The 24,950-nt window shown below is 45.3% G+C and overlaps 3 annotated features.

The window, feature by feature from the left end:
* Window positions 14,843–14,902: a silencer, noted in NCBI's record as "silent region_15330". NCBI's record gives its function as "represses an Ori minimal core promoter by ATAC-STARR-seq in GM12878 lymphoblastoid cells {active_cell/tissue: GM12878}" and the evidence as "EXISTENCE:reporter gene assay evidence [ECO:0000049][PMID:35858748]".
* Window positions 15,321–15,844: an enhancer, noted in NCBI's record as "NANOG-H3K27ac hESC enhancer chr4:25994521-25995044 (GRCh37/hg19 assembly coordinates)". NCBI's record gives its function as "activates a minimal SCP1, AML or CMV promoter by ChIP-STARR-seq in naive and primed H9 embryonic stem cells {active_cell/tissue: H9 hESC(naive and primed)}" and the evidence as "EXISTENCE:reporter gene assay evidence [ECO:0000049][PMID:30033119]".
* Window positions 20,168–20,367: an enhancer, noted in NCBI's record as "active region_21383". NCBI's record gives its function as "activates an Ori minimal core promoter by ATAC-STARR-seq in GM12878 lymphoblastoid cells {active_cell/tissue: GM12878}" and the evidence as "EXISTENCE:reporter gene assay evidence [ECO:0000049][PMID:35858748]".

The raw sequence follows: 24,950 nt of genomic DNA, 5'->3' as shown, positions 1-24,950 counted from the left end.
CAAAATAAATCTGAAGTCATTCCATATTTCTGTGCTCATTTAAATCATGAAAAGAAACATAAACACATTATAATTATCATCTTACTTATCTTGTTATTGTCAGCTAAGTTTTATCTCTTCTTTAAAAATTAATAATTTTTGGCCAGGCTTGGTGGCTCATGCCTGTAATCCCAGCACTTTGGGAGGCCGAGGTGGGCAGATCACTTGAGGCCAGGAGTTCAAGACCAGGCTGGCCAACATGGTGAAACCCCATCTCTACTAAAAATACAAAAATTAGCCAGGTGTGGTGGCACACGCCTGTAATCCCAGCTACTTGAGAGGCTGAGACAGGAGAATCCCTTGAACCCAGGAGGTAGAGGTGGCAGTGAGCTCAGATAGTGGCAGTGAGCTGAGATAGTGCCACTGCACTCCAGCCTGGGTGACAGAGTCAGACTCCATCTCAAAAAAGAAAAAAAAAAAAAAAAAGAAAAAAGAAAAAAAGAAAGAAACAAAAGAAAAAAATTAATAATTTTTATACTTCATAATTAAGTTTACCAAACAGATGATCAAGTCCTCACTGTTTCTTGACTCCTATGCCTTCCCTTTTAGTTAATTTTTCTTCTTGTGGAAATACATACATTAATAATTTTTAAAATGAATGTCTATGGGTAATATATGTCTTTTAATTTTCGTGCACCAAAACATTTCTTAATTTAGCTGGAAATAAAATCTTAGGTTGTCATTTATTTTCCCTCATTACTTTGAACATATTTCTCTACAGTGAGAAGCATTACAGAGCAGTAAGTATGAGCATTTGGAGCCAGATCAGCTCAGTTTGAGTCCCAGCTTCTCTACTTACTAGATGCAAGACCTTGGACAAGAACCATTAAACTTCCTTTTGGCTCAGTTTCCTCAACTGTAAAAAGGGGATAATAAGAATCCCATCTCACAGAATTGTTGTGAAGATTAAATTAGTTAATATGCATGAAGTACTTTGCATTATGCTTGGGACATAGTACCATTTAAGTGTTAGCTGTTGTTATTACTATCTCTGACTTCATTGTGGCTCATGAGAAAATTACCATCAGTCTAACTGTGCTTCATTGTTAGATAATCTAATTCTTCTCTCTGATTGCCTTTAAGATTTTCTTGGGGGGAGGGACAGTATTAGGAGATATACCTAATGTAAATGACCAGTTAATGGGTGCAGCACACCAACATGGCACATGTATACATATGTAACAAACCTGCATGTTGTGCACACGTACCCTAGAACTTAAAGTATAATTTAAAAAAAAATATTTTCTTTATTTGGACATTCTGCAACTTCACTCAGAATACACTTTCAGCCTAAGAGTTTGGTCTTTCTACCATTCTGGAAAGTTCTTAACCATCATTCTTTTATTATTTTTTTATTTACTCTCCTTCTCTGCAACTTCCATGTGCTGTAAGTTGTAGCCTCTCCAATTATTCTCCATCTTTCTCAATTGTTCTTACATAACTTTAAACTTTGGCTGTCTGTGCCATATTTTTGGGTGAACTCTCTGGCATCATCTTTCAATTCAATTATTTTTATGACTGTACAAAGTCTGAAATTTTATCCAATCTATTAGACGTTTTAAAATTTCAGGAACTGTATTTTATATTTCCAAGGTTAATAATTGTTTCTTTTCCATTTTTTTCTTTTTTTTTTTGAGATGGAGTTTCACTCTTGTTGCCCAGGCTGGAGTGCAATGGCATGATATTGGCTCACCACAACCTCTGCCTCCTGGGTGCAAGTGACTCTCCTGTCTCAGCCTCCCAAGTAACTTGGATTACAGGCATGTGCCACCACACTCGGCTAATTTTGTATTTTTAGTAGAGACAGGGTTTCTCCACATTGGTCATGCTGGTCTCCAACTACCGACCTCAGGTGATCCACCCACCTCAGCCTCCCAAAGTGCTAGGATTACAGGCGTGAGCCACCACACCTGGCCATATTCATTTTTTTTAAAGTTCATTTCTTGGCTAACATGGTGAAACCCCATCTCTACTAAAAATACAAAAAAAAAAAAATTAGCTGGGCGTGGTGGCGGGCACCTGTAGTCCCAGCTACTTGGGAGGTTGAGGCAGAAGAATGGTGTGAACCCTGGAGGCAGAGCTTGCAGTGAGCCGAGATTGTGCCACTGCACTCCAGCCTGGGTGACAGAGCGAGACTCCTTCTCAAGAAAAAGAAAAGAAAGTTCATTTCTGTCTATTTTTGTTTCACATTTTATATTCTTATTTATTTCATCTTATTCCTTCACTTTCTGTTTTAAATATCTGGAACACATGTATTTTTAAATTCTTTTTCAGATTGTTTTACTATTTTAGTTTCACTTGAAGCAAAAAAATCTATCAATATTGATTTGTTAGCTATTATCCCTTGGAGATAGATTTCTTTTTATGTTTTGGACTTCTAATTTTCAGGTTCACTTAAAGCTTGATCCTTTACACTCTTCTCTCTTTCCCTCTTTTTCTGTCTATTCTTCTTTTCTTGTCTAGGAGTTTTGAGTTTCCTCTATCAGCCTGCCTGCTATTTGAACCTTATATTGATGATGGTAGCTCTTGCTTATTGGCAATGTGGGTGTCTCACTCAGTGAGCAAGTGGCTTAGTTCAGGTTCTGCTTCTTGTTCTGTCTTGATCACTGCCCACCTAGTCCCTCAGCTTCACATAAGCTAAAATCTCAAGCAGTTGTTTGCAGGCGTTTTCAGCAATCTCTCGTCCTAAGTGGAGAATCCACCAGACTTAGTTTCAGCCCTGAACCCTGCCTCATCTACAGCGTATTCAGTTCCTGTTTCCTTGGAGCCAGATTAGCTTAGTTACACCCAGAAGCCAAAGTCTTGCCCACTAACTGCTGTATGTTTCTCTTCTGTTTCTGGTCTGCAAAACTGACTATCTCATTTGTGAGCTCAGTTATACCCTTTTTACATGCTCCATTAAAAAAAAATTATCTATAGCTACTACGTGTTTATGGCAGAATGGGTGACACAAATGTGTATCTACACAAATGCTATCTTGACCAGAAGTGCTTTTCTGATTTTTTAAAACAATGGACAATTGCTTCTGTGTTACAATAAATGCCAAGATAAAATAACCATATCCATGGATATCATTTGTTACCTTGGTCAACATTGTTTTCTTGTTCTGGTGGAGCGGATACCAGAATGCCGTGGGTTAAAGAAGACTAAGAACTGGAGCCGCCAAGAGGAGGCCACTCTTGCAAAGATGGTTCCCTGAGAAAGAGAGAAAACAGATCATGGGAAGTTCTGTTTTGTTGAATCAGAGAGATGTTAATATGTTTATAATCAGAGAATAAAAAGCCAGAATAGGGAAAGCAGCTGGAAGGTGGCACAGATCAGTGATTAAGAATATAATCTTCTGAGTTAGCTAGACTTGAGTTTGAAGAAGAGCTCTGCCCTTCACTGTGTAACTTAAAATTCCTATCTGTAAAGTGGGGACAGCAATGGGATCTACCTCTTGGGGCATCAAGAGGATTAAATAAGAAACTGTATGTGATTAATTTAGCACAAAGACTAACAGTAAACATATAAGAGCTCTTGACCACAATTATAACTTGCGTAATCTGTTAATTTCATGTGTCAACTTAGCTTGGCCACAGTGCCCAGCTATTTGGGCAAATACCAGTCTGGACATTGCTGTGACAGTATTTTAAAGATGAGATTAGCATTTGAAACAGTAGATTTCGAGTAAAGCAGATGATTGTCTATAATGTCAGTGGGCTTCCTCCAATTAGCTGAAGCCTTAAGACGAAAAGACTAAGGTCCCTCAAGCAAGAGGATACTCTGTCTGCAGACTCTGCCTTCAAACTTGAGCTACAACATCAAGTCTTCCCAGGGTTTCTAGACTGCTGAGCTGCCCTGCAGAATTTAGACTTGCCAGCCGCACTATCACATAAGCCAATTCCTTAAAATTTGTTTATCTATCTTTCTATTATCTATCTATCTATCATCTATCTATTATCTATCTATCTATTTTCTTAGCTATGTATCTATCATCTTTCTTATCTATCATGTCTGCATATCTATCTATGCATTCAGCCATCCACCTATCTATCTACCCATTCTTCTACCTATCTATCATCTATCCATATATCTAATCTATCATCTTTCTTATCTGTTTTTATATCATCTTTCTTTCTTATCAATCTGTCCATTCATCCATCTGTCTATCTAATCTGTCTATCTAATCTATCCATCGATCAATCATCTTTCTTATCTATCTATCCATTTATCTGCCTACCTATCTATCATCTATCCATCCATCTATCCATCTATCTAATCTATCATCTTTCATATCTATCTATTATCTAATCTATCTATCTATCTATCTATCTATCTATCTATCATCTTTCTATCTTCTATCTAATCTATACTATATATATCTTTTGTATCTATCTGTTTTATCTATTTCTTATCTATCTTATTTATGTATCTATCTATCATTTCCTATCTATCTATCTATCTATCTATTATCTACCTATCCATCCATCCTATTGGCTTTGTTTCTGTGGAGAAGGCTAACTAATATTGATGGCTTAGGGCTAGTAGCTCAGGGATTGGTTTGCATATGTTCATTTGCTTAAAGGGAGACATAAATAATAGTTGACTTCCTGAGGAGGCAGAGCATATATACCTTAGGAAGAGGGGCTCCTTAGATAGAGCTCTGGGATGGAGGGGAAATGAGGAGGCTTGAGGGTGCAGCAGGACTGAGGACATCTTCTCTGATGACTGTTCTCTCTGGGATATAGAAAGTGAGGTCACATCATGGCCTAAAGGGAGGCAGCTTTTAAAGGACCGTGGGAAATCAGGGGCGCTAGTGCTGAAAAGGACCCCGGGGAGCACAGAGGTCCTGCTGAGGTTGAAGACCATGATCCACGATGCACCCATCTGTAGGACCAGGAAGCCTGATGTGGGAGAGAACAGCAGGCTAAATCCAGGGTTGGTCTCTACAGCAGAGGGAATCACAAGCCTGTTAGCAAGTGAAGAACCAACACTGGCAAGAGTGTGAAGGCCTCTCATCAGAGTTCTCAATACCTGCCTACTCCTTGGCATCAAAGGAGAACTAGAACAAAGATTTCCACTGAAAGGCAATGGCTGTGTTTATTCTCAGCATAGGCAAGATATTTCCCAGCTGTTTCTCTCACCCACAATCTGGGAAAGTTGTCTATAGGCTTCTTTTAGTGACGTGCAAGCAGAGGTGTGGAGAGCCAGAGACTCTGAGGTTATGGAGCCAAGGAGAACCCAATCACACAAATCCAGCTGGAGGTGGAAGTCCTTGGAAGCAAAGGCCAGTGAAGTGTCACCAGCAAGATCCAGGCCTCGGGAATCTCAAGTCCATAGAATCAGGAATCATAGTTCCAATCCCTGGACTTGAATCTGAAGGGTTATGGGGTAAAAACTGCCTGGAGACAGCAGTCAAGACAGCAGTCCCTGGGAGGGGTGTGTGGGGTGGCAGTCCAGCCTCTGTGAAGCAGATCCCAGCAGGAAACAGCTGTCTGAGAGAGTCCCTGCTCTCTGGCTGTGACCACCCTCCTCCATGCTCTGAGCCGGCCTATCTCCTGGGCTGAACACCAGGCCTGTGTCCTCTCATTCAGAGTTGTCTTCATTTATCCTTGTCCTGGAGAGGCCTTGGAGCTTAGCTGGTGAGCATCTGAGCCTGTGTGATCTGCATCTGTGTTGAGTGCCCCTCCAACTGTGAGAGGTGGTGGTGCAGGGTGCAGGACACCTCCCCTCTTGCTTGGCCTGGCTGATGGCAGCAAAGGCCAGCCAAAGCAGCAGAGAGGTGCTGGAATCTGCAGCTAAGACTCTTACTTTAAGGATTATAAATGAGTCCCAGATTACTTCTTTGAGACCAAGCTCTGAAAGATTGGTTGATATGCAAATACAGCAAAATGGTGAAACACTTTTCTACACAGGTTGACATAAATGTGAATTCCGGCCCTTCCTTTCTCATCATATCTGACAACCTTGAGCAAGTTCGCGTTCACAATTGCTATTTATTGCATTTAGACTCAATATAGAAGTTGTGAGTTATAGGTTGTGTTTAAGGGACTTTGTTTTTGGCCAAGTCTGGGGCTAGGCTTAGGGCTAGTAGCCCAGGGATTGGTTTGCATATGTTCATTTGCTTAAAGGCAGTTGCTTTTTTTTTTTTTTTTTTTTTTTTTGAGACAGAGTCTCACTCTGTTGCCCAGGCTGGAGTGCAGTGGCGAGATCTCAGCTCACTGCAACCTCTGCCTCCCGGGTTCAAGCAATTCTTCAGCCTCAGCCTCCCAAGTAGCTGGGATTACAGGCACCCACCACCACACCCGACTAATTTTTGTATTTTTAGTAGAGATAGGGTTTCACCATGTTGGCCAGGCTGGTCTCAAACTCTTGACCTCAAGTGATCCTCCCGCCTCAGCCTCCCAAAGTGCTGGGATTATAGGCGTGAGCCACCCCACCCGGCTGCAGTTGCTTTTATGAGACTAGAGAGAAGGGAACAGTTTTATGCACAGGTATCTTTATGCACAGGTATCTGAAGAAAAAAAGAACAGTGCATGTATTCGTTAGGACCCTTTGGGTTGCAAAAAAGCAAAAGCCAGTTGAAGTGAGTTTTAGCAAATATCAAGAGCAATTGTATGGATTCCCTGAAGCACAAGGTCAGGGATGCAGCAAAACCTTAGGAATGACCTAGAATCAGGGCCTGGATGGGAGGCTGCCAAGACTCTGTTTCTTCCTTGCTGCTCCCTGTCCATCTGCTCTATTCTCTGTTCTCTGCAAGCCAGCTTTCCCTGTGCCTCAGGCCACAGGGTGAAAGGTAGAGGCCAACCAACAGCTCTTGGGTTTTCTTATTATAGGTTTAGTCCATGAGCTCCAGCTTAGAAACATAAGTGAAAAGAAGAGAGTGTCTTTCTCCCCGGTTCTGGGGATCTGTCCTCCTGCATGGGTCCCATGTCACTTCTTGGCAAGTCTTCATTGTCAGGGCGAGAAAGTACTTTGACTGGCCAGGCCTGGTTCCTCCCAGATCACCGGGTTTCTTAACAGAGGAAATAACATACAGAAGCTTGTTGAAGAGAGAAAGATAAAGCACAGATGCCACAGCCCACTGCAGGGCGATTTCCTTCACTGGTCCTCCCACCCCCATTGGCCTAGCCCAGCTCTGATACTCCAGAGCTCAAGCCACCCCAAAGGACAGCTTCACACAGAGTAGCAGTTTTCCCAGACAGCCCTGGGCAGTGGTGAAATGTCTCAAGGAGGAAGCCAGAGTTGAAAAATACAAGTGAGCCTGTCCTTGAACTTATGTGAGACATTACCATGGGACCCCCAGACAAAACCGTGGGGACTCTGGGTGGAGCTGAACCCCTGCGTACCACAGTCAAGCCATTAACATCACTAGATGTCATTTTTTATCCACAGTCATCAGACCTAGGGACACTAGGTTATTGTACAGGTGAATGATCCCTTATGAGCCATCTAAGTTTTTTTCTAAATGTTTACCATAACAAATAACTCAGCAGCCAGTATTAGCTTACAGTTAGATCTTCACACACATTCTCAACTTATTACCATTTGTGAAGATGAAAGTGAGAAAAGCTAAAAACAAAAACAAACAATAGATAATAAAGCCTCTGGGTAACAAACCAAGTCTTAGCCAGAACTCTTTTGGTTGCAAGCAACAGAAACTCAAGTCAAGCCAATTTAAGCAAAGGGGATATTTACTGATTCCAGAAACTAGGAGTTCATGGAATGGAATTGTTCTCCAGCATGACTGGATGCAGAAACTCAGTAATATTCTCTCTCTCTGCCCATTTCTCAGCTGTGCTTTTCTTGGGATGTTAGGCTTACTCCTATTGCAAGAGATGAGCTTCTTCCCTGTGACTTTAGGGATTGTGGAGAGGAGGGTATGAGTATGATCACAGACAGGTTCCAGTTTACATCATTCACTCTCAATAAAAAGTAAGCTTTTCTCTTCTAGTGCCAGACTCTTCTCCCAGAAGGGTCTGATTGCTCTTACTAGAATGGCATTCCCGATCCATGAGCTCATCACTGCAGCTCAGGGGCAGTGACCCTCTGGCCAGAGTTAGGGGATCCTAACAGACTCATGTGGAATAGAGGAGGGTCAGTTCTGAAACAAAAGAAGGGAGCTGTTACCAAAATAAGGTTAGTAAGAGCTGTTGGCAGTTCAAAAGAAAAGACATGCAAGAGTCAAGTTCCTATGCTGGCCAACAGTGTGTCCTGCTGCAAGGGGTTCTGTGCCAGGACAAGCAGGAAGTTTTCTCCCTAAAAACAGAAATGAAACCCATTTCTGTATGTCATGGCACACAGTATAAACCACACTAATGTGTGGCCTCTGGGAGGTGTTTATGGGGATGTGTTTTTGTCTCGTAGTCAGAATAAATACAATGAAGGACCCATCCCTTCTTTGAAATATGGCATAATTTTGATGGGAACACATCATTTTCCTCCCAAAACCTTTTGTTGGCTCCCAATCCTCTTCAAAATAGAACTCCAACTTCACTATGTGCAATTGCATTATGATGCTGAGGAAAGAGCTTGCTTTGGGTCAGGTGAACCAGCCTGGACTGCTGTTGTGTGACCTGAGGCAAGCTACCCTGAACTTCCAGAGAGAAGCTTGGCAGCATGGTATCATGTCAGAGTCCTGGCCCCTGAAGCCACTCTGTCTTCACCACTTCCCAGCCACCTGCCCTTAAGCACATTTCTAAATGGTTCTGTGCCTTAATTTCCTCATGCATAAAATAGGGATGATGATAACTACCTTCACAAGGTTGTTCAGTGGAATAAACAAGACAATGAATGTCAAATGCTTGGAACAGTGTTTGGCACACAGTAAGTTCTCAATAAAATGTTAGCTATTGTTATTATTGCTATTTGACTGCTCAATATCTAGTAGAGTACATGATCCAGAATAAAATATATGGTGAATGAACCAATGGACTGAACCCTTTATGACCTAATTTTCCTAATCTATAAAATGTGACTATTACTCATCAAACATGCTGTTGTAATGATTAAGTGAGATAGCGTATGGAAAGCCTCTAGCACAATGCCTGTCTTAACAATAGGCAAGTTCTGTTGGTTCCTTTCTATTTTCTCCATTCCCCTACCCCTGAAATTCAAGGTCCTCCATAATTTTTCATGCCAAGCCTTTCTGAGTTGCGAAGTGCCAAAACCTAACTCAAGTTGGCTGACACTTACAATACAGGCTCAAGAAATAGAAAAGTCCTAGGTCTAGCTGAATCCAGAGACTCAAATGACATCATCGGGGCTTGATCTCCTTGAAACTCTTTCTTTTGAGCATGGTTGACTTCAAGGTGTTGACTTTACCTTGAGGAGACCTGTCTATGTGGTGGCCTCCAGTGCTCCAGATTGTCACCAGGTCTCTTAACCTCTCTGCACCTCAGTGTTCTCATCTGTAAAAAGGGGGATAATAATAGCACCTATAGTAAGCCTTTGATACGTATTATTGTCATTGCTGTTGTTATTCTTTAGCAATTCCAGAGGAAAAAGGAACTGCTGCTTCTACTTCTGGAAAACTCCAAGAATTGTGTCTCATTGGATCAATGCAGGCCTCCTGTCCATCCCTGAGGCAATCAGCATGATTGAGGGGATAGACTAATAAGACTGATGGGGCCTGGAATATCCCCCTCCCCTAGGGCTGGGGCCAGACGTGGGGTCAATCTCCTTCCCACATGGACTAAGAATTGGAGAGGGTGCTCTCCCTAAGAAAAACCAAGATGCTAGTAACAGGGTAAAAACATGGGCTGTGCCCAGGAGGGAACAGTTCCAGTGGCTAACCGCCTGGCTCCAGAGTTGAAGTTGATGACTGTGTCCTCCACTGCTGCCCACAACAGGCTGTGGAAACTTAAGCAAGTTACTTATCCTCTCAAAGCCTCAGTTTCCCCACTTAGAGAAATGGGATGCTATTTCTTCACAAGTGTTTGCTTTTAGGATTTTTATTATAGAAATTTTCAAGCACATTCATCAGAACAGTCAATAGTAAAATGAATCCAGGTAAGCATCACCCAGCTTCAGTAATTATCAACACAGCTGATCTCTGATCTGTGTCTCTCCTTCTCCCCACACCCTACTCCTAGAACATTCTGAATCTCAGATATGATATAATTTTGTTCATAAACATTTCAGTATGTATCTGCAAAATATAATCGCTTTTTTCTTAAATTTAACCTTTACTATTATCACACCTAAAACATTAACAATAGTTCCTTAATATCATTCAAAAATGTGGAGTTTGAATCGTCCTTTTTGTTTCATAAATCGTTTTTCACTCTTGATTTATCTGAGTCAGGATTAAAGTAAGGCCTATTACATTCCATTTGGTTGATACGCCTCTTGAGTTTCATTTAATCTCTAGGTCCCAACAGTTATCAATAAGTCAATCTTTTTTTTTTTTTTTTTTTTTTGATGAAGAGTCTCACTCTGTCACCGAGGCTGGGGTGCAGTGGCATGATCTCGGCTCACTGCAACCTCTGCCTCCCAGGTTCAAGTGAGTCTCCTGCCTCAGCCTCCTGAGTAGCTGGGATTACAGGCGCTTGCCACCATGCCTGACTAATTTTTGTATTTTTTTTGTAGAGACAGGGTTTCACCATGTTGGCCAGGCTGGTCTCGGACTCCTGACCTCAGGTGATCCACTCCCTGGGACTCCCAAAATGCTAGGATTACAAGTGAGAGCAACCATGCCTGACCCAATAGGTCATTCTTACTTCATCTGTATCTACTCCCTACACCTCACTCCCTGTCCCCTACTTCTGAAATATTTTGAAACAAATTCCAGACACCAAAAAAAAATTTTTTTCTTTTTTGAGACAGAGTCTCACTCTATTGCCCAGGCTGGAGTGCAGTGGCGCGAGCTCAGCTCACTGCAATCTCTGTCTCCTGGGTTCAAGCGATTCTCCTGTCTCAGCCTCCCAAGTAGCTGGGAATACAAGCATGAGCACCACATCCGGCTAATTTTTTTTTTTTTTTTTTTTGTAGAGATGGGGTTTCACCATGTTGGCCAGGCTGGTCTTGAACGTCTGATCTCAGGTGATCCACCCACCTCGGCCTCCCAAATTGCCAGGATAACAGGCGTGAGCCACCACACCTGGCCTAGACACCAAAATGTTAAGCCTCATCTCTAAATATTTCTGTTTGTACTTCTAACACCCTCACTCTCTCTCACATTAGAACAAAACCACTATTCCATTAATACACCACAATGATAATAATCATGCTTGGATACCCATTGTTTAAATTTCCCCAGTTATTATCACTGTTTGGAAGTGATGTAATTCACAGTGAAGTCACAGCTTGTTAAAATCAAGATCCAAACAAGCCCATGCTTTTGGTTGATTTTTCTATTAAACCTCTTTTAATTTCTAGGTTCCTTGGCTTTTCTTTTCTTTTGTTTCTTCTATTTTATTTTTTGAAAAAACTAGGTCATTATCCATGTAGAACTTCCTCATTTGGAATTTTGCTGATTGCATTACCCAGGTGCCATTTACCATGGGGTGGGAAGCATGTAGTCTCACACAGCCCTGGAGGGAATCAGGCTCTGGAACTAACTTGCTGGGTAACAGTGACAAAATTCCTTAATTTTTCCAAATCTCAGTTTTTTCATCCTAAAAGAGGATAATGATAATGACACCTCCTAAGCTACAGGGAAGATTAACTGAGTAAGATATGTAAAGAATTAAGTACAATGGTGAATGGGAAATTAATTTTTTTTCTTAAAAAAGCTATTGCTGGAAATAACCCTAGAGTCCCTTGATAGATGAATGGATAAACAAAATGTGGAATATCCATACAATAGAAAATTATTCAGCCCCCAAAAGGAAGAAAATGTTGACATAGTCTACATAGGTGATTCTTGCATGTATTATGCTAATAAGCCAGTCATGAAAGGACTAATATTGCCTGACTCTTTCTATATAAGTTACCTAGAGTAGACAAATTTATAGAGACCACTGGGTACAATGGCTCACACCTGTAATCCCAGTACTTTGGGAGGCTGAGGCAGGAGGATGACCTGAGGTCAAGAGTTCGAGACCAACCTGGCTAACATGGTGACATCTCTACTAAAACTACAAAAATTAGCCGGGTGTGGTGGTGGGCACCTGTAATCCCAGCTACTTGGGAGGCTGAGACTGGAGAATCGCTTGAACCCGGGAGGCGGAGGTTGTGGTGAGCTGAGATCGCACCATTGTACTCCAGCCTGGGTGACAAGAGTGAAATTCTGTCTCAAAAAAAATTCATAGAGACTGAAAGTAGGTTGGTGGTTCCCAGAGGCTTATGGGGAGAGGTGAATGAAGAATTACTGTTTAATGGATACAGACTTTCAGCTGGGGAAGACAAAAAAACTTTGGAGTTAGATGGTGGTGATGGTTGCCCAGCATGTAAATGTACTGAATGCCACAAAACTGTACATTTAAAAATACAAACATGATACATTGTATGGCATGTATATTTTACCACAATAGGCAAAACAGCTGTTAAATAAATTAATGTTGTATAGGACTGCGGCCTCCAGCTGCTCCCTTGCCCCTCATTTCATACCTCTTGGAGACCGGTGGCACAATTCCAGGAACGGGCTATTATCGTAAAAGAAACTGAATTAAACTTATCTGAAATCCTGACCTCCATCCTTGAATCCACAAATATTCATTAAGCTCCAGCTCTGAGCTAGGCCTGGCCAAGGGCCACAGCTCAGGTGTAAGGGAGGAGGCGAGGATGCAGAGGTCTAATACCCAGACTCAGGCTTCAGAGGCCTTCGAACTCTCATCAGATTGAGGAATGTGCCATAACAACACAGGTGACACAGGACAAGCATCTCCCCATCAGTGGTAAAAGAAAGCAAGCCCTGTGGGCCTCCACTCCTTCCTCAGGAAGACATTGACCTCAAAAGAGGGTGGACGTGCCCACTGCCTTCACTTCCCGGAGGCCCGGGAGAGACCGTACCCGTGACCATCTGACCACATGCGCAACCATGGGGCCAATCAGATTCTCTGAGAATTTCAGCAGAGCATCCCAGAGGAGGAGGGTCAGGGGTGACCTGGAAATGGAAAATCACATAGACTCAGGCTGGGGCGAGCTGGTTCTCTTGAAGGAACCAGCAATGAGGATGCCACAGAGAGGGTAAGTCTTCCTGGGGAATCTGCAGCACGAAACAGACACTCAGAAAGGGGACAAGAGACACACAGGCAGGTGCTAGGGAGAGGCTGTTCCTCTCCAGCTTCCAGCCCCAGGTACGGTCCTTCCCCAGGCCTGTGCATTCCTGCCCTCCATGTCTCCAAGTGTCTCCTGTGCCCTCCCTACAGGCTCCCCTTAGAGCAGGCTGCAGGAGTGGAGGCACAGTCTGGGTCCCCTGGAAGGTGCCTCTGAGAGCATTAGGCTGCTCCATGTTGACCAAAGACTGCCCTTGGGATAGATACCTATGGAAAGGAGGGGAAGGAGGCAGGAGTGGGCGGAGAGAGCAGCTGAGCTGGGACCAGGGCCACAGCCTTGGCCAACCCATGTGTGTTAATCTGCTAGGCTGCAATAACAAAGGACCACAACCTGAGGGGCTTCACACAGAAATTTATTTCCTCACAATTCTGGAGGCTGGAAGTCTGAGATCAGGTGTTGACTGGGCTGGTTTCTTCTTTTCTTTCTTTCTTTTTTTTTTTTTTTTGAGACAGAGTCTCACTCTGTTGCCCAGGCTGTAGTGCAGTGGTGTGATCTCAGCTCACTGCAGCCTCTGCCTCCCGGGTCCAAGCGATTCTTGTGCCTTAGCCTCCTGAGTAGCTGGAATTACAGGCGAGTGCCACCAGGCCTGGCTAATTTTTGTATTTTTAGCAGAGACAGGGTTTCACCACGTTGGCCAGGCTGGTGTTGAACTCCTGACCTCAAGTGATCCATCTGCCTGCCTCAGCCTCCCAAAGTGCTGAGATTACAGGAGTGAGTCACCACACCCAGCTGGACTGGTTTCTTCTGAGGCCTCTCTCCTTGGCTTGTAGACAACTGTCTTCTCACTGTGTCTCCCTCTGGCCTTCCCTCCATGTGTCTGCATCTTAATTTCCTCTTCTTTTTTATTTTTATTTTTTGAGACGGAGTTTCACTCTTGTTGCCCAGGCTGGAGTGCAATGGTGCCATCTCAGCTCACCACAACCTCCTGGGTTCAAGCAATTCTCCTGCCTCAGCCTCCCGAGTAGCTGGGATTACAGGCATGTGCCACCACGCCCGGCTAATTTGTATTTTTAGTAGAGACGGGGTTTCTCCACGTTGGCCAGGCTGGTCTCAAACTCCCGACCTCAGGTGATCCCCCCTGCCTTGGCCTTCCAAAGTGCTGGGATTACAAGTGTGAGCCACTGCACCAGGCCGATTTCCTCTTTTTATAAGACACCTATCATATTGGATTATGGCCCAACCCAATGACCTCATGTTACCTTAATTAACCTTTAAAGGCCTTGTCTCTGAATAGAGTCTTATTTTGAGGTTCTGGGGTTTAAACTTCCACCTATCAGTTGTGGAGTTGGAGGGGCCAGGAGAGAGCACAGCTGAACTCTGACAGCATGGGAAGCTCTGGAGTCAGAACGGCCCTTCAAAATCATCCCAGTCAGGCCAAAAAGGTCAGGTCTGTAAGGATCAGTCATTGGATATGGAACTTTCTGGGAAGAGCATGACCTTGGGCGAGGCCACACTCTGCAGCTGAGTCGGTCCCTAAGGGATCTGAGAGCTGAAGGCTGTCTGTGGTCAGCTCCCCCAGCAGCTGGGGCATCGGATCCTGCATCAAAGAGGGCGTTACTTTCAGGATCCAGAGGGCGGTACTTTCAGGATCCACCACCAGGTGGGTTCTGTGTCCTGCAGCTGAACGAACTTGAAGGCGGGGCTGTCCTGGGGGTGAAGTGAAACAATGATTGGCAGCTCCCTGAGGGTGGGACTGTGTGTTGGTCACCGTATCCTCCACCCATGACAGACACTTCATCCATCTCCACCCTGTTGCAGCCTTTCTTCCAGAAAAGGAGATGTCTGCTGGGTGGGGTCTAAGACAACTCGTGATCTGGTGACAATAGGGATGGATGTGACTGGTGCTGTCACACACCCCCGCCCACTCACATAACAAAGTGAGCTGAGGTTGCTTTCTTGCATAATGAAGGAAAACCCAAGAGAACTGCAGAGAGGGGCGGGGAATAAACCAGGGCTGGCAGCTGCTGGCCCCCAGACTCCTTGTTAAGTGAAAAGAATAAAGCCCTTTTTATTTAACACACTGTGTAGTGGGTTGAATGGTGGGCGTGTCGTGTCCCCTCGGCCCCGCCCCTGCAACAGAAAGTCCTTCCCCTGAGACTTGCAAATGTGACCTTTTTTGGAAAAAGAGTCTTTGTAAATGTAGTTAAGTAAAGGAGATAAAAATAATCCTGGGTTAGAGTGGTCCCTGAGTCCAATGACTCAATAAGCGTTCTTATAGAGACTTGTCCTCTGGAAGAAGAGCAGAAAGACACAGAGGAAAGGTAATGTGAAGATAGAGGTGGATATGGAAATGACTCACCTAGAAGCCAAAGAATTCCAAGAATTGGCCAGGCACGGTGGCTCATGCCTGTAATCCCAGCACTTTGGGAGGCTGAGGTAGGCGCATCACCTGAGGTCAGGAGTTTGAGACCAGCCTGACCAACATGGAGAAACCCCATCTCTACTAAAAATACAAAATTAGCCACATGTGGTGGCGCATGCCTGTAATCCCAGCTACTCAGGAGGCTGAGTCAGGAGAATTGTTTGAACCTGGGAGGTAGAGGTTGTGGTGAGCTGAGATCCCGCCATTGCCCTCCAGCCTGGGTAACAAGAGCGAAACTCTGTCTCAAAAAAAAAAAAAGGAATTCCAATAATTGCCAGCAGCCTCCAAAATCTAGGAGATGGGCATGAAGCAATTCTCCCTCAGAGCCTCCAGAAGGAACCAACCCTGCTGACGCCTTCATTTCAAACTTCTGGCCTCTGGAAGTGTGAGGGAATAAATTTCTGTTGTTTTAAGTCACCAAGTTTGTGGTACCTTGTCAAGACAGCCACAGAAAAGTATTACATGCTGTATTGTTAGGTTATTTTCTGTTTGCAACCCAAATCCTAATTGTTGTAACTTAGCAGCACCCGACATACAATAAAATTAAATGAATGAATGGTCCGGGCACAGGGGCTCATTCCTGTAATCTCAGCACTTTGGGAGGCCGAGGCAGGCGGATCACTTGAGGCCAGAAGTTTAAGATCAGCCTGGGCAGACTGAGCGCAGTGGCTCTTGCCTATAATCCCAGCACTTTGGGAGGCCGAGGCCAGTGGATCACCTGAGGTCAGGAGTTCAAAACCAGCCTGGGCAACATGGTGAAACTATGTCTCTATTAAAAATACAAAAATTAGCTAGGCATGGTGGCACACACTTGTAATCCCAGCTATCCAGAGGCTGAGGCAGGAGAATCACTTGAACCTGGGAGGCAGAGATTGCAGTGAGCTGAGACTGCACCACTGCACTCCAGCCTGGGGAACAGAGTGAGACTCAGTCTCAAAAAAAAAAAAGAACAAATGTACTTATTTGTATGTGCCTGATAGGACATACTTAAATGTGCATACTTTTATTTGCTTTCTTAGTGGGATAGTAGAAAAGACTTTGGAGAGCATTCCCCTGCACTGAGCAGGCTGATGTGCTCACACAGCTGTGGAGGAGGGTGATCTAGACAGGAGGGATGACACGGGCAAAGATATGAAATTGGGAGGGTGCAAAGCATGTTGAAGGTTTGAGGGTTCAGGGGGCCGTATGTAGATCAGCCTGGTGGTATAGGGTGCATCTGGGAGGCAGAGGGAGGCCAAGCAGGAAAGGCAGCCTGGGGCCAGTGTGGAAGTCACCAAAGCCATTCCAGACGTGGCACTGGCCTTTCCCTGAAGGTAATGGGCTGTCATCGCAGGTTTTTCACCCAGGAGCAACATGATAGAAATGGTGCTTTAGAAAAATGAGTCTGGTCTCATTAGCATTGATTCTAGTCCTGCTGAGACAACAAGGCATAGATAAATGGTCCACATCCATCCTTAAAAGTGCACAGCAATTGTCCAAATGAACCACACTCTACACTGGCTGAGCTTTCAATTACAAAATGCCATCAGTTACAATGACACAATGGGGCATTACAGTAATCCGTCACTGAAATCATATAAAGCTGCCAACTCTGTGTTCTGCCACCAAGATCTTGGCCCTTTGAGCCTGCCTCTCCCGCCAGCCAACTCCGCCTTTAGGCAAGGATTCCCAGTATCCCCCTGGGTAATTCCAGACCTAGAGTCACTTCTCTCACACTCTGGGCTCTGACCCCATCTCAGGTCCTGCCTGTGGCTCTTTGGCTGTCTGCTAACAGATTCTGCCCCTTCTCACCCAAATTTCAGGCCCATGGACTCAATCCCCAGTCCTGGTAATAGTGAAAGATGAATTCCCACTCCATGGGCCAGGCTCTCTGTGACTGCCTTAAGGAGGCGGTATGGCAGAGTGACCAGCCACAGGCTTGGGTTCAGTCCTGGCTCAGCGACTGGGAGGGTTTTTTTTAACTCCTCCAAGCCTCACTTCTCTCAGCTGATAACAATACCTAACTCACAAAGCAGCTGTGAGGATCAGGGCAGGTGATCCATTAGTAAAACTATTATGAGACATGCACTTACCCTTATGGAACTGTACTCAGAAGAAAAAAGCCAAGTTATCTTCATTTATGAAAAGTCAAAAATGAAGCAAGTCAAGTGAAGCAAAAGCACCATCTTGGATTTCAGTAAACTCATGCACCAGTTACACGCACCATCTAATTTTGTTTCCGAAATATGTTGTTGCCTGAATTCAATATCTACCACTCCGGTCATCCCAAATGAAAGTGGACAGAGGATCAGTGACTTGCCTCGTGCTTCCTTGGATAAATAAAATGTGGTGCTCACACATTATGGGGCTCTGTGCAGCAATTACGAGCCTCAAACTGGATGCACATACACAGTAACATGGGCAGATCTTAAAAAACATAATAGAGGACATCGAATACTACTTTGTACCCAGCCCCATTCCAAGTACTTGACACAGTGTAACTCATTCAGTTCTCACCAAATCCCATGAGGTACACAGCATCATTATCTCCAATGTGCAAAGAGAAGCATGGAAAAGTTCAGTAAACTGCTTATCATCTTACATAGCAGAGGAGCTGAGATTTCAACCAGGCAGCCTACATGCTTCACCTCAATTCCGTATTAAATGCATACACATGCATACACACACACACACACACACACACACGGGCATTTATTTATTTATTTATTTATTTAATTTTGAGACAGAGATTCACTCTTGTTCTCTTGTTGCTCAGGCTGGAGTGCAATGGTGCGATCTCGTCTCACTGCGAACTCCGCCTCCCGGGTTCAAACGATTCTCCTGCCTCAGCCTCCGGAGTAGCTGGGATTACAGGCACCTGCCACCACGCCCCGCTAATTTTATATTTTTAGTAGAGATGGGGTTTCTCCATGTTGGTTTCTCCATGTTGGTCAGGCTGATCTGGAACTCCCAATCTCAGGTGATCCGCCCGCCTCGGCCTCCCAAAGTGCTGGGATTACAGGTGTGAGCCACCACGCCTGGCCTCACACATGAACATTTATAACAGCAGGACCTTCAGCACATCACCATTCTGCCTATGCCAAACTGCCAGTTTGTTCTCAATCCATCTCTGCCTTTCCTCTGCTCTTCCTTATATCCTAGGGAACTACAATTGCCAGCTCTCATGGCTCTGGCTTGTGGGTTGGTTTAGGGAATGGGAAACTGGTAGAAGATTAGAGAGGGGAAGAAGGGAGAGCCAGGGTGTTTCTCTATGTCTTTCCTCCGGTAGCTCCCACAACCCTGTTTCTCTTCCTTGGCTCTGCCTTCTGTCAGATGGCCCCTCCTCGACTGTTTCAGATCCTGCCAGCGGTCCCTACATTGGAGTCCCAGCCATAAAGCAGTAGCATCATCCTTCCTATTGCTGCTCCAGCCCTAGGGGTCATGGTGGCTTCCTGAGGTTGATAATCTCTGGGTCACCTGTTTGTCTTCTCAGTTTGCCTATCAACTTGGGTAACCAATTCCCTATATTAAATTTTCTCTGTTTGAAAGACCTAGAGTGGTTTCTAATTTTCTTGCTAGATCCAGACTAATAACTCATTTGTGTGAATTAAAAATCTATGCGTGCTCTGGTGGAAGAAGTACTGACCTGTGAATCAAGATGCCTGGGATGGAGGCCAAGTGCTGTCCCAACCCAATGTGAAACCTCGAGCTCTTTGTCTGTCCTTCTTAGACTTTGCATGCTTTTCTTTTTTTATGAAAACTTTTTTTTTTAACTTTAGAGAGATTGGGTCTTGCTGTGTTGCCAGGTGGGAGTACACTGGTATATGATCATTGCTCACTGCAGCCCTGAACTCAAGGGATCATCCCACCTCAGTCTCCCGAGTAGCTGGGACTACAGGTGCACGCCACCACATCTGTTTTGATTTGTTTTGTACAGATGGCGTCTCGCTATGTTCCCCAGGCTGGTCTCAAACTCTTGGCCTCAAGCAATCCTCCCGCCTCAGCCTCTCAAAATGCTGGGATTCCAGACATGAGCTACCATACCCAGCCTAGATTTTGGATTTCTAATTTGCAATGTTAATGTGGATTAGGTGCTTTTTTTAAAAAGTACATTCTTACTCAAACTCTTTGAATGTGTGTGTGTGTGTGTGTGTGCGCGCGCACGCACATGCATGCATGCGTGCTCGAGATCACAGATTTTTTTCTATGGATAATATGAATTCAAGGATATGCATGAATCACATTAAAGCAGCTGCCTTTGGAGTAGAGAACAGGGATAGAAAAGAGTAAAAAGACAATCAGAAGCTGGGCACAGTGGCTGACGACTGTAATCCCAGCTAATCGGGAGGCCGAGGCCAGGGGATCACCTGAGGTCAGGAGTTCAAGACCAGCCTGGCCTACATGGTGAGATCCCGTCTCTACTAAAAATACAAAAATCAGCCAGGCGTGGTGGCGCAAGCCTGTAATCCCAGCTACTCGGGAGGCTGAGGCAGAAGAGTCACTTGAACCCGGGAGGCGGAGGGCACAGTGAGCAGAGATCACACCACTGCACTCCAGCCTGGGTGACAGAGTGAGACTCCGTCATCAGAAAGTCCCGGTACTGACAATTGGAGAGCAATGCAACACAGCACACAGCAGTGGTTCCTAACCTGTCGGCCAGCCCACGTGCTGCCGTCCAGAGCTAGACGTGTCACCAATCACCTTCCACATTCACCCTCGGTGCTCCTGAAGCAACGGGAAGCCTTTTCTGGGTGTTTTGTTGTTGTTGTTCCACAGTCACTTCTTTATGGGCCAGCCTCGCCCTGAGAACGAGGAGGGTGAAGGCGGTTCAGCCCGGACAGGCTGCTGGCGCCATCTAGCGCTCCGATGGAGAACTGGCTCCCGCGCATTCTCTGAGTTGAGATTTCCGGCGCCTGCTCCGAGCTCTCCAACCTCCATCTGCTTTTTTCAAAACCTTCATAGCTTGCCAATTTGCAAATATTGGGAAGTCACTTTGCCTTGAAATCTTCAAGGAGTAACTCTACTGAGCCCATTGCCAGTAGAACCCGCAGAAGCTGCCAGGCAATTACCTAACCCCCAAGAGGCCCCTAGCAAATTGGACATTCTGGGCATTTAAAACCCGCCATCCGCATGCACAGAATTGTAGGAAACGTGGGCTCCAAATTTCATCATCAGAATCTCTGAGGGGCGACCTCAGCCTTTCCTAAGAAAACAATGTCTCTCATGAGGTGTGAAGACATCTGCTTTCCAGAGTCCCCCACTGCCACTATCTCTAAATAACAATTTCTAAACAAGTTGTTGGTTCACATTTAAAATTGCGAGCCATGTTTTCTTTTCTCCATATAGGAGAGGAGAGGCTGGTTGTTTCAGGATTCATTAAGCCCTAATTTCTTCACCAGCATTCTGAGCGCAAATGGCTTAGCTGCTCCATCCCATGTTTAAGGCATATTGAAATAGGCCCTATCCTGCCTGAGACATTAACTTTTAGCAGTAACTGCTAGAAAAGGACCTTGATTTATTTATAATCAGCTGATGTTATCATTCACAGGAAAGACTAATAACATGAGAAATAAACTTGAGCACTGAGTTAGGGGGCAAAATTTGGGAGCCCACCTTAGTTTTTTTTTGTTTTGTTCTGAAATAACCAAGAACAAAGACAAGAGGCGAGTACTGAGTACGGATGAACATGAATGAATTGCTAATTATCGAAACAATTTATTTGGACACTCTGCTACCCGGGAGAGAAGTAGGGTGCTTTTTGTCTTTCCCATCAAAGACTTTATTGCTATTTTGATCATCCAGAATTGTCAAGACCATGTTTCCCTAATAATGCGGCCAGCGATTTCATTTCGCCCTAGGGCCACGGTCACCCAACAGCTTGTAGGACTCTCCGTCCCTCTCTGTTATGAGTGCAGGGAGACGACAGAGGAAAGGAGGGTATAGGTTGGATGCGAAGTGGAAGAGACTTTTCTCTCCCCTTTTCCAAGTGTCAAAAGTGCATCAGTGGCAAGGAGGAATTGCCTTTTAGTTTACTTGGATTTTGACAGGCCCCTTTTACTTTCCCGTCAGCTCCTCAATTCAGGCAATTTCACGGCTTCTTTTCTGCTACTGAGACGTGTTTGTGGCAGCAGTGTTGTTAGCTGCAGCCACAGGCTGAGGAGCCAAATTGCTAAGCAGCCTCGCTTTGACTGCAGCCCACACCCGCTCAGGAGGATTTGCTAGCAACCCAGTGACAGTCCAGACCTAACAGGGCCATCAGGCCAGCCCGAAGGGCGACAGTGTGTCCTGGTTCATTATTCAGCCCAGTTAGATGGCTGAGAGCTGTCTGTATACTTACTTTCAATGAATTGAAATATCATAAAATAGACCTCATTCATTCATTTAACAAGTAAGCATTTATTGAGAGCCATGCTAAAGCTCTGCTGAATGTAATTAGCCGATTAAGCCAAACTCTGCTAAAGAGAGTTCCAGGCAGAGGGAGCAGCAAGTTCAATGTCTAGGTCATAGGCTTGGCTTGTTTGAGGAAGAGCAGGAAGATAGGAATAGTTGGGGGGAGATGAGAGCAAAGATGAGATCCTGGGCTGGGAGGCCACATCATGTACAGCCTTCTAGGCCACAGTGGGGACTTTGGGTTTTAGACTATGTATGATGGGAAGCTACTATGGAGTTTGAAGACCATGCTGTTTCCAGCCCCAAAGGGGCTTTAAAATGCCATAGCCTCTAGGATGAAACACCTCCTCAGCACAGCACCCAGCTAGCTTCTCCTCTGTGCTCTCCTCCTGCCTCACCCCACTCGCATCTCCATATATACCCACCATAGCTCTCTCTTATTTTCCAAAGGCAACATCCCTTTATCTGCCTGGGAAACACCTACCTGCCCTTCAAGACCTTGCATATCCACCACTGCCTTTATCCAGCCGATCTTGACTGTCTTACGCTGTGAATCCCCCTGTTCTTTGCCTCAGAGCCTCTTGGACACAATCCTATTATATAGGGTCCCTGTCATTTCTAAGTGTCTCCCTGCCCTGCAAGACTGGAGGCATTAGACAGGGGAATCCCGTGTGGGGCTGGGGCAGAGTCAGCAAAATAGGTGTGTTAAATTCTCCTTGGGTGGATGAGCAAATGAACAAGTGAAGGGGTAGCTATGGAGAGCTAACCCATGAACTCCCTACCAGCCGTCCACTCCACAGTGTGAAGAATGGATGAGGGGTTGGTTGCAAGCCAGACTGCCTAGGTTCAAATTCAGCCTGCAGCAAGTATTTCCCAGGTGACCTCTGGCAAACTTCTGTGCATTCACTTCTTTATATATAAAATAGAAAGGGTCATAATGCCATGCTCTGCCCACAGGTTGTTGAGAGGATTAAATAAATTAGTATATAAAAGCACTTAGGGCCAGGCATGGTGGCTCATGCCTGCAATCCCAGCACTTTGGGAGGCCGAGGCAGGCGGATCACTTGAGGCCAGGAGTTCAAGACCAGCCTGGCCAACATGGTGAAACCCCATCTCTACTAAAAATACAAAAATTAGCCAGGCATGGTGGCAGGCACCTGTAATCCCAGCTACTCAGAAGGCTGACGCAGGAGAATCACTTGAAACCAGCAGGCAGAAGTTGTGGTGAGCCGAGATCACATCATTGCACTCCAGCCTGGGTGACAGAGCAACACTCTGTCAAAAAAAAAAAAAAAAAAGCACTTAGAATAGGGCCTAGCACAGTAGACATTTGGTAAGTGTGAGTATTATTATGGCTGTTTTGTTGTTGCAAGGGAAAGGGGCTGCAGGATACAGAGAGGGGAATTCAGGGGAGAGTGGGAATCTTGGGGGGGTGGGGTGGTGAGCTTGCTGCTTTCTTCTCCAGCTTTGTCTGGGGCTGTTCTGAACCACAGGTGCCCTGCCTATAAGGCATGTCTCAGAGGCTCTTAGAGGGAACCATTTTTTCATTAATCTCCCAGTAATGTCATGGGAAAGTCAAATTGCTTCCTATTCTCAAACCCTTTCCTACCTTCCTGGAAGCTTTTGCTGTTCCCTTTTCGATGGAAGGAGGTTGGGCTGGGGTTGGGCTGGGAGCCAGAACACTTGGTTTGGAGTTCTTGCTCTGCCATCTGTCCCACCAATGTCCTTGGGCAAGAGGTGTGACCTCTGAGACTTGAATTCCTCGGCTGGTCTGAGATCTTCCTCTGCAGGCTGCCGTGGGGTCCAGGCAGTGGTTCTGTGCTCCGGCTATGGAGTCAGGCTTTTTTTTAGACAGAGTCTTGCTCTGTTGCCCAGGCTGGAGTGCAGTGGTGCCATCTCCTCACCTCCCAAGTTCAAGCGATTCTCATGCCTCAGCCCCCTGAGTAGCTGGAATTAAGGGACACACCACCACACCTGGTTAATTTTCGTATTTTTAGTAGAGATGGGGTTTCACCATGTTGGCCAGGCTGGTCTCGAACTCCTGGCCTCAAGTGATCCGCCCACCTCGGCCTCGGAGTCAGGCTATTCTGGCTCATATCCTGGCTCTACCCTCTGTTAGCTGTGGCTTTAGGTAAGTTATCCAGTCTCTCTGTGCCTCAGTTTCCTCAGCTGAAATGGGGCAATAATAGCTACCACCCTATTATAGGCTGAATTCTATCTCCCGCCCCCACCCCCAATTCGTATGTTGAAGTCCTAACTCCCAGTACATCACAGTGTGACTGTATTTAAAGAGAGGAAGTTAAAAGAGGTCATTAGGGTGGGCCCTAATCCAGTATGACTGTTGTCTTTATAGGAAGAGGACATTAGGACGCCGACAGATTGGGAAGACCGTGTGAGGGCACAGGGAGAAGAGGGTCATCTACATGCCAAGGAGAGAGGCCTCAGGAGAAACCCACCGTGTTGACACCTTCAGGTTGGACTTCTAGAACTGTGAGAAAATAGATTTCTGTTGTGGAAGCCAGCCAGGCTGTGGTCCTTTGTGATAGCAGCCTCAGTGGACCACACACCCCACTAGGCGGTTGTGAGTGTTAAATGAGAAGATGCATGTGAGGTGCTTGGAATAGGCCAGGTATACAGCGAGTGCCTAACACATAGCAGCCTCTCATCACAAGTGAGGGCCTGATTCTTGCAGGGATCAGCAGAGACATGCTGCCTCAGAAGGGAAATCCCTGTTCTTAGTTCTATTCAGACCCAATGACACATTCAATATTTACTGCAGGCCAGGTACTACGGCTCATGCCTGTAACCCTAGCACTTTGGGAAGCCGAGGCAGATGGATCACCTGAGATCAGGAGTTTGAGACCCAGCCTGGCCAACATGGCAAAACCCTGTCTCTACTAAAAACACAAAATTAGCGGAGTGTGGTGGTGTGTGCCTATAATCCCAGCTAATTGGGAGGCTGAGGCAGGAGGATCGC

The sequence above is a fragment of the Homo sapiens genome, chromosome 4 (genome assembly GCF_000001405.40).
Source record: "Homo sapiens chromosome 4, GRCh38.p14 Primary Assembly".
In the NCBI taxonomy this organism is placed as follows: domain Eukaryota; kingdom Metazoa; phylum Chordata; class Mammalia; order Primates; family Hominidae; genus Homo; species Homo sapiens.
This window is presented reverse-complemented; position numbering and strand designations above follow the sequence as displayed.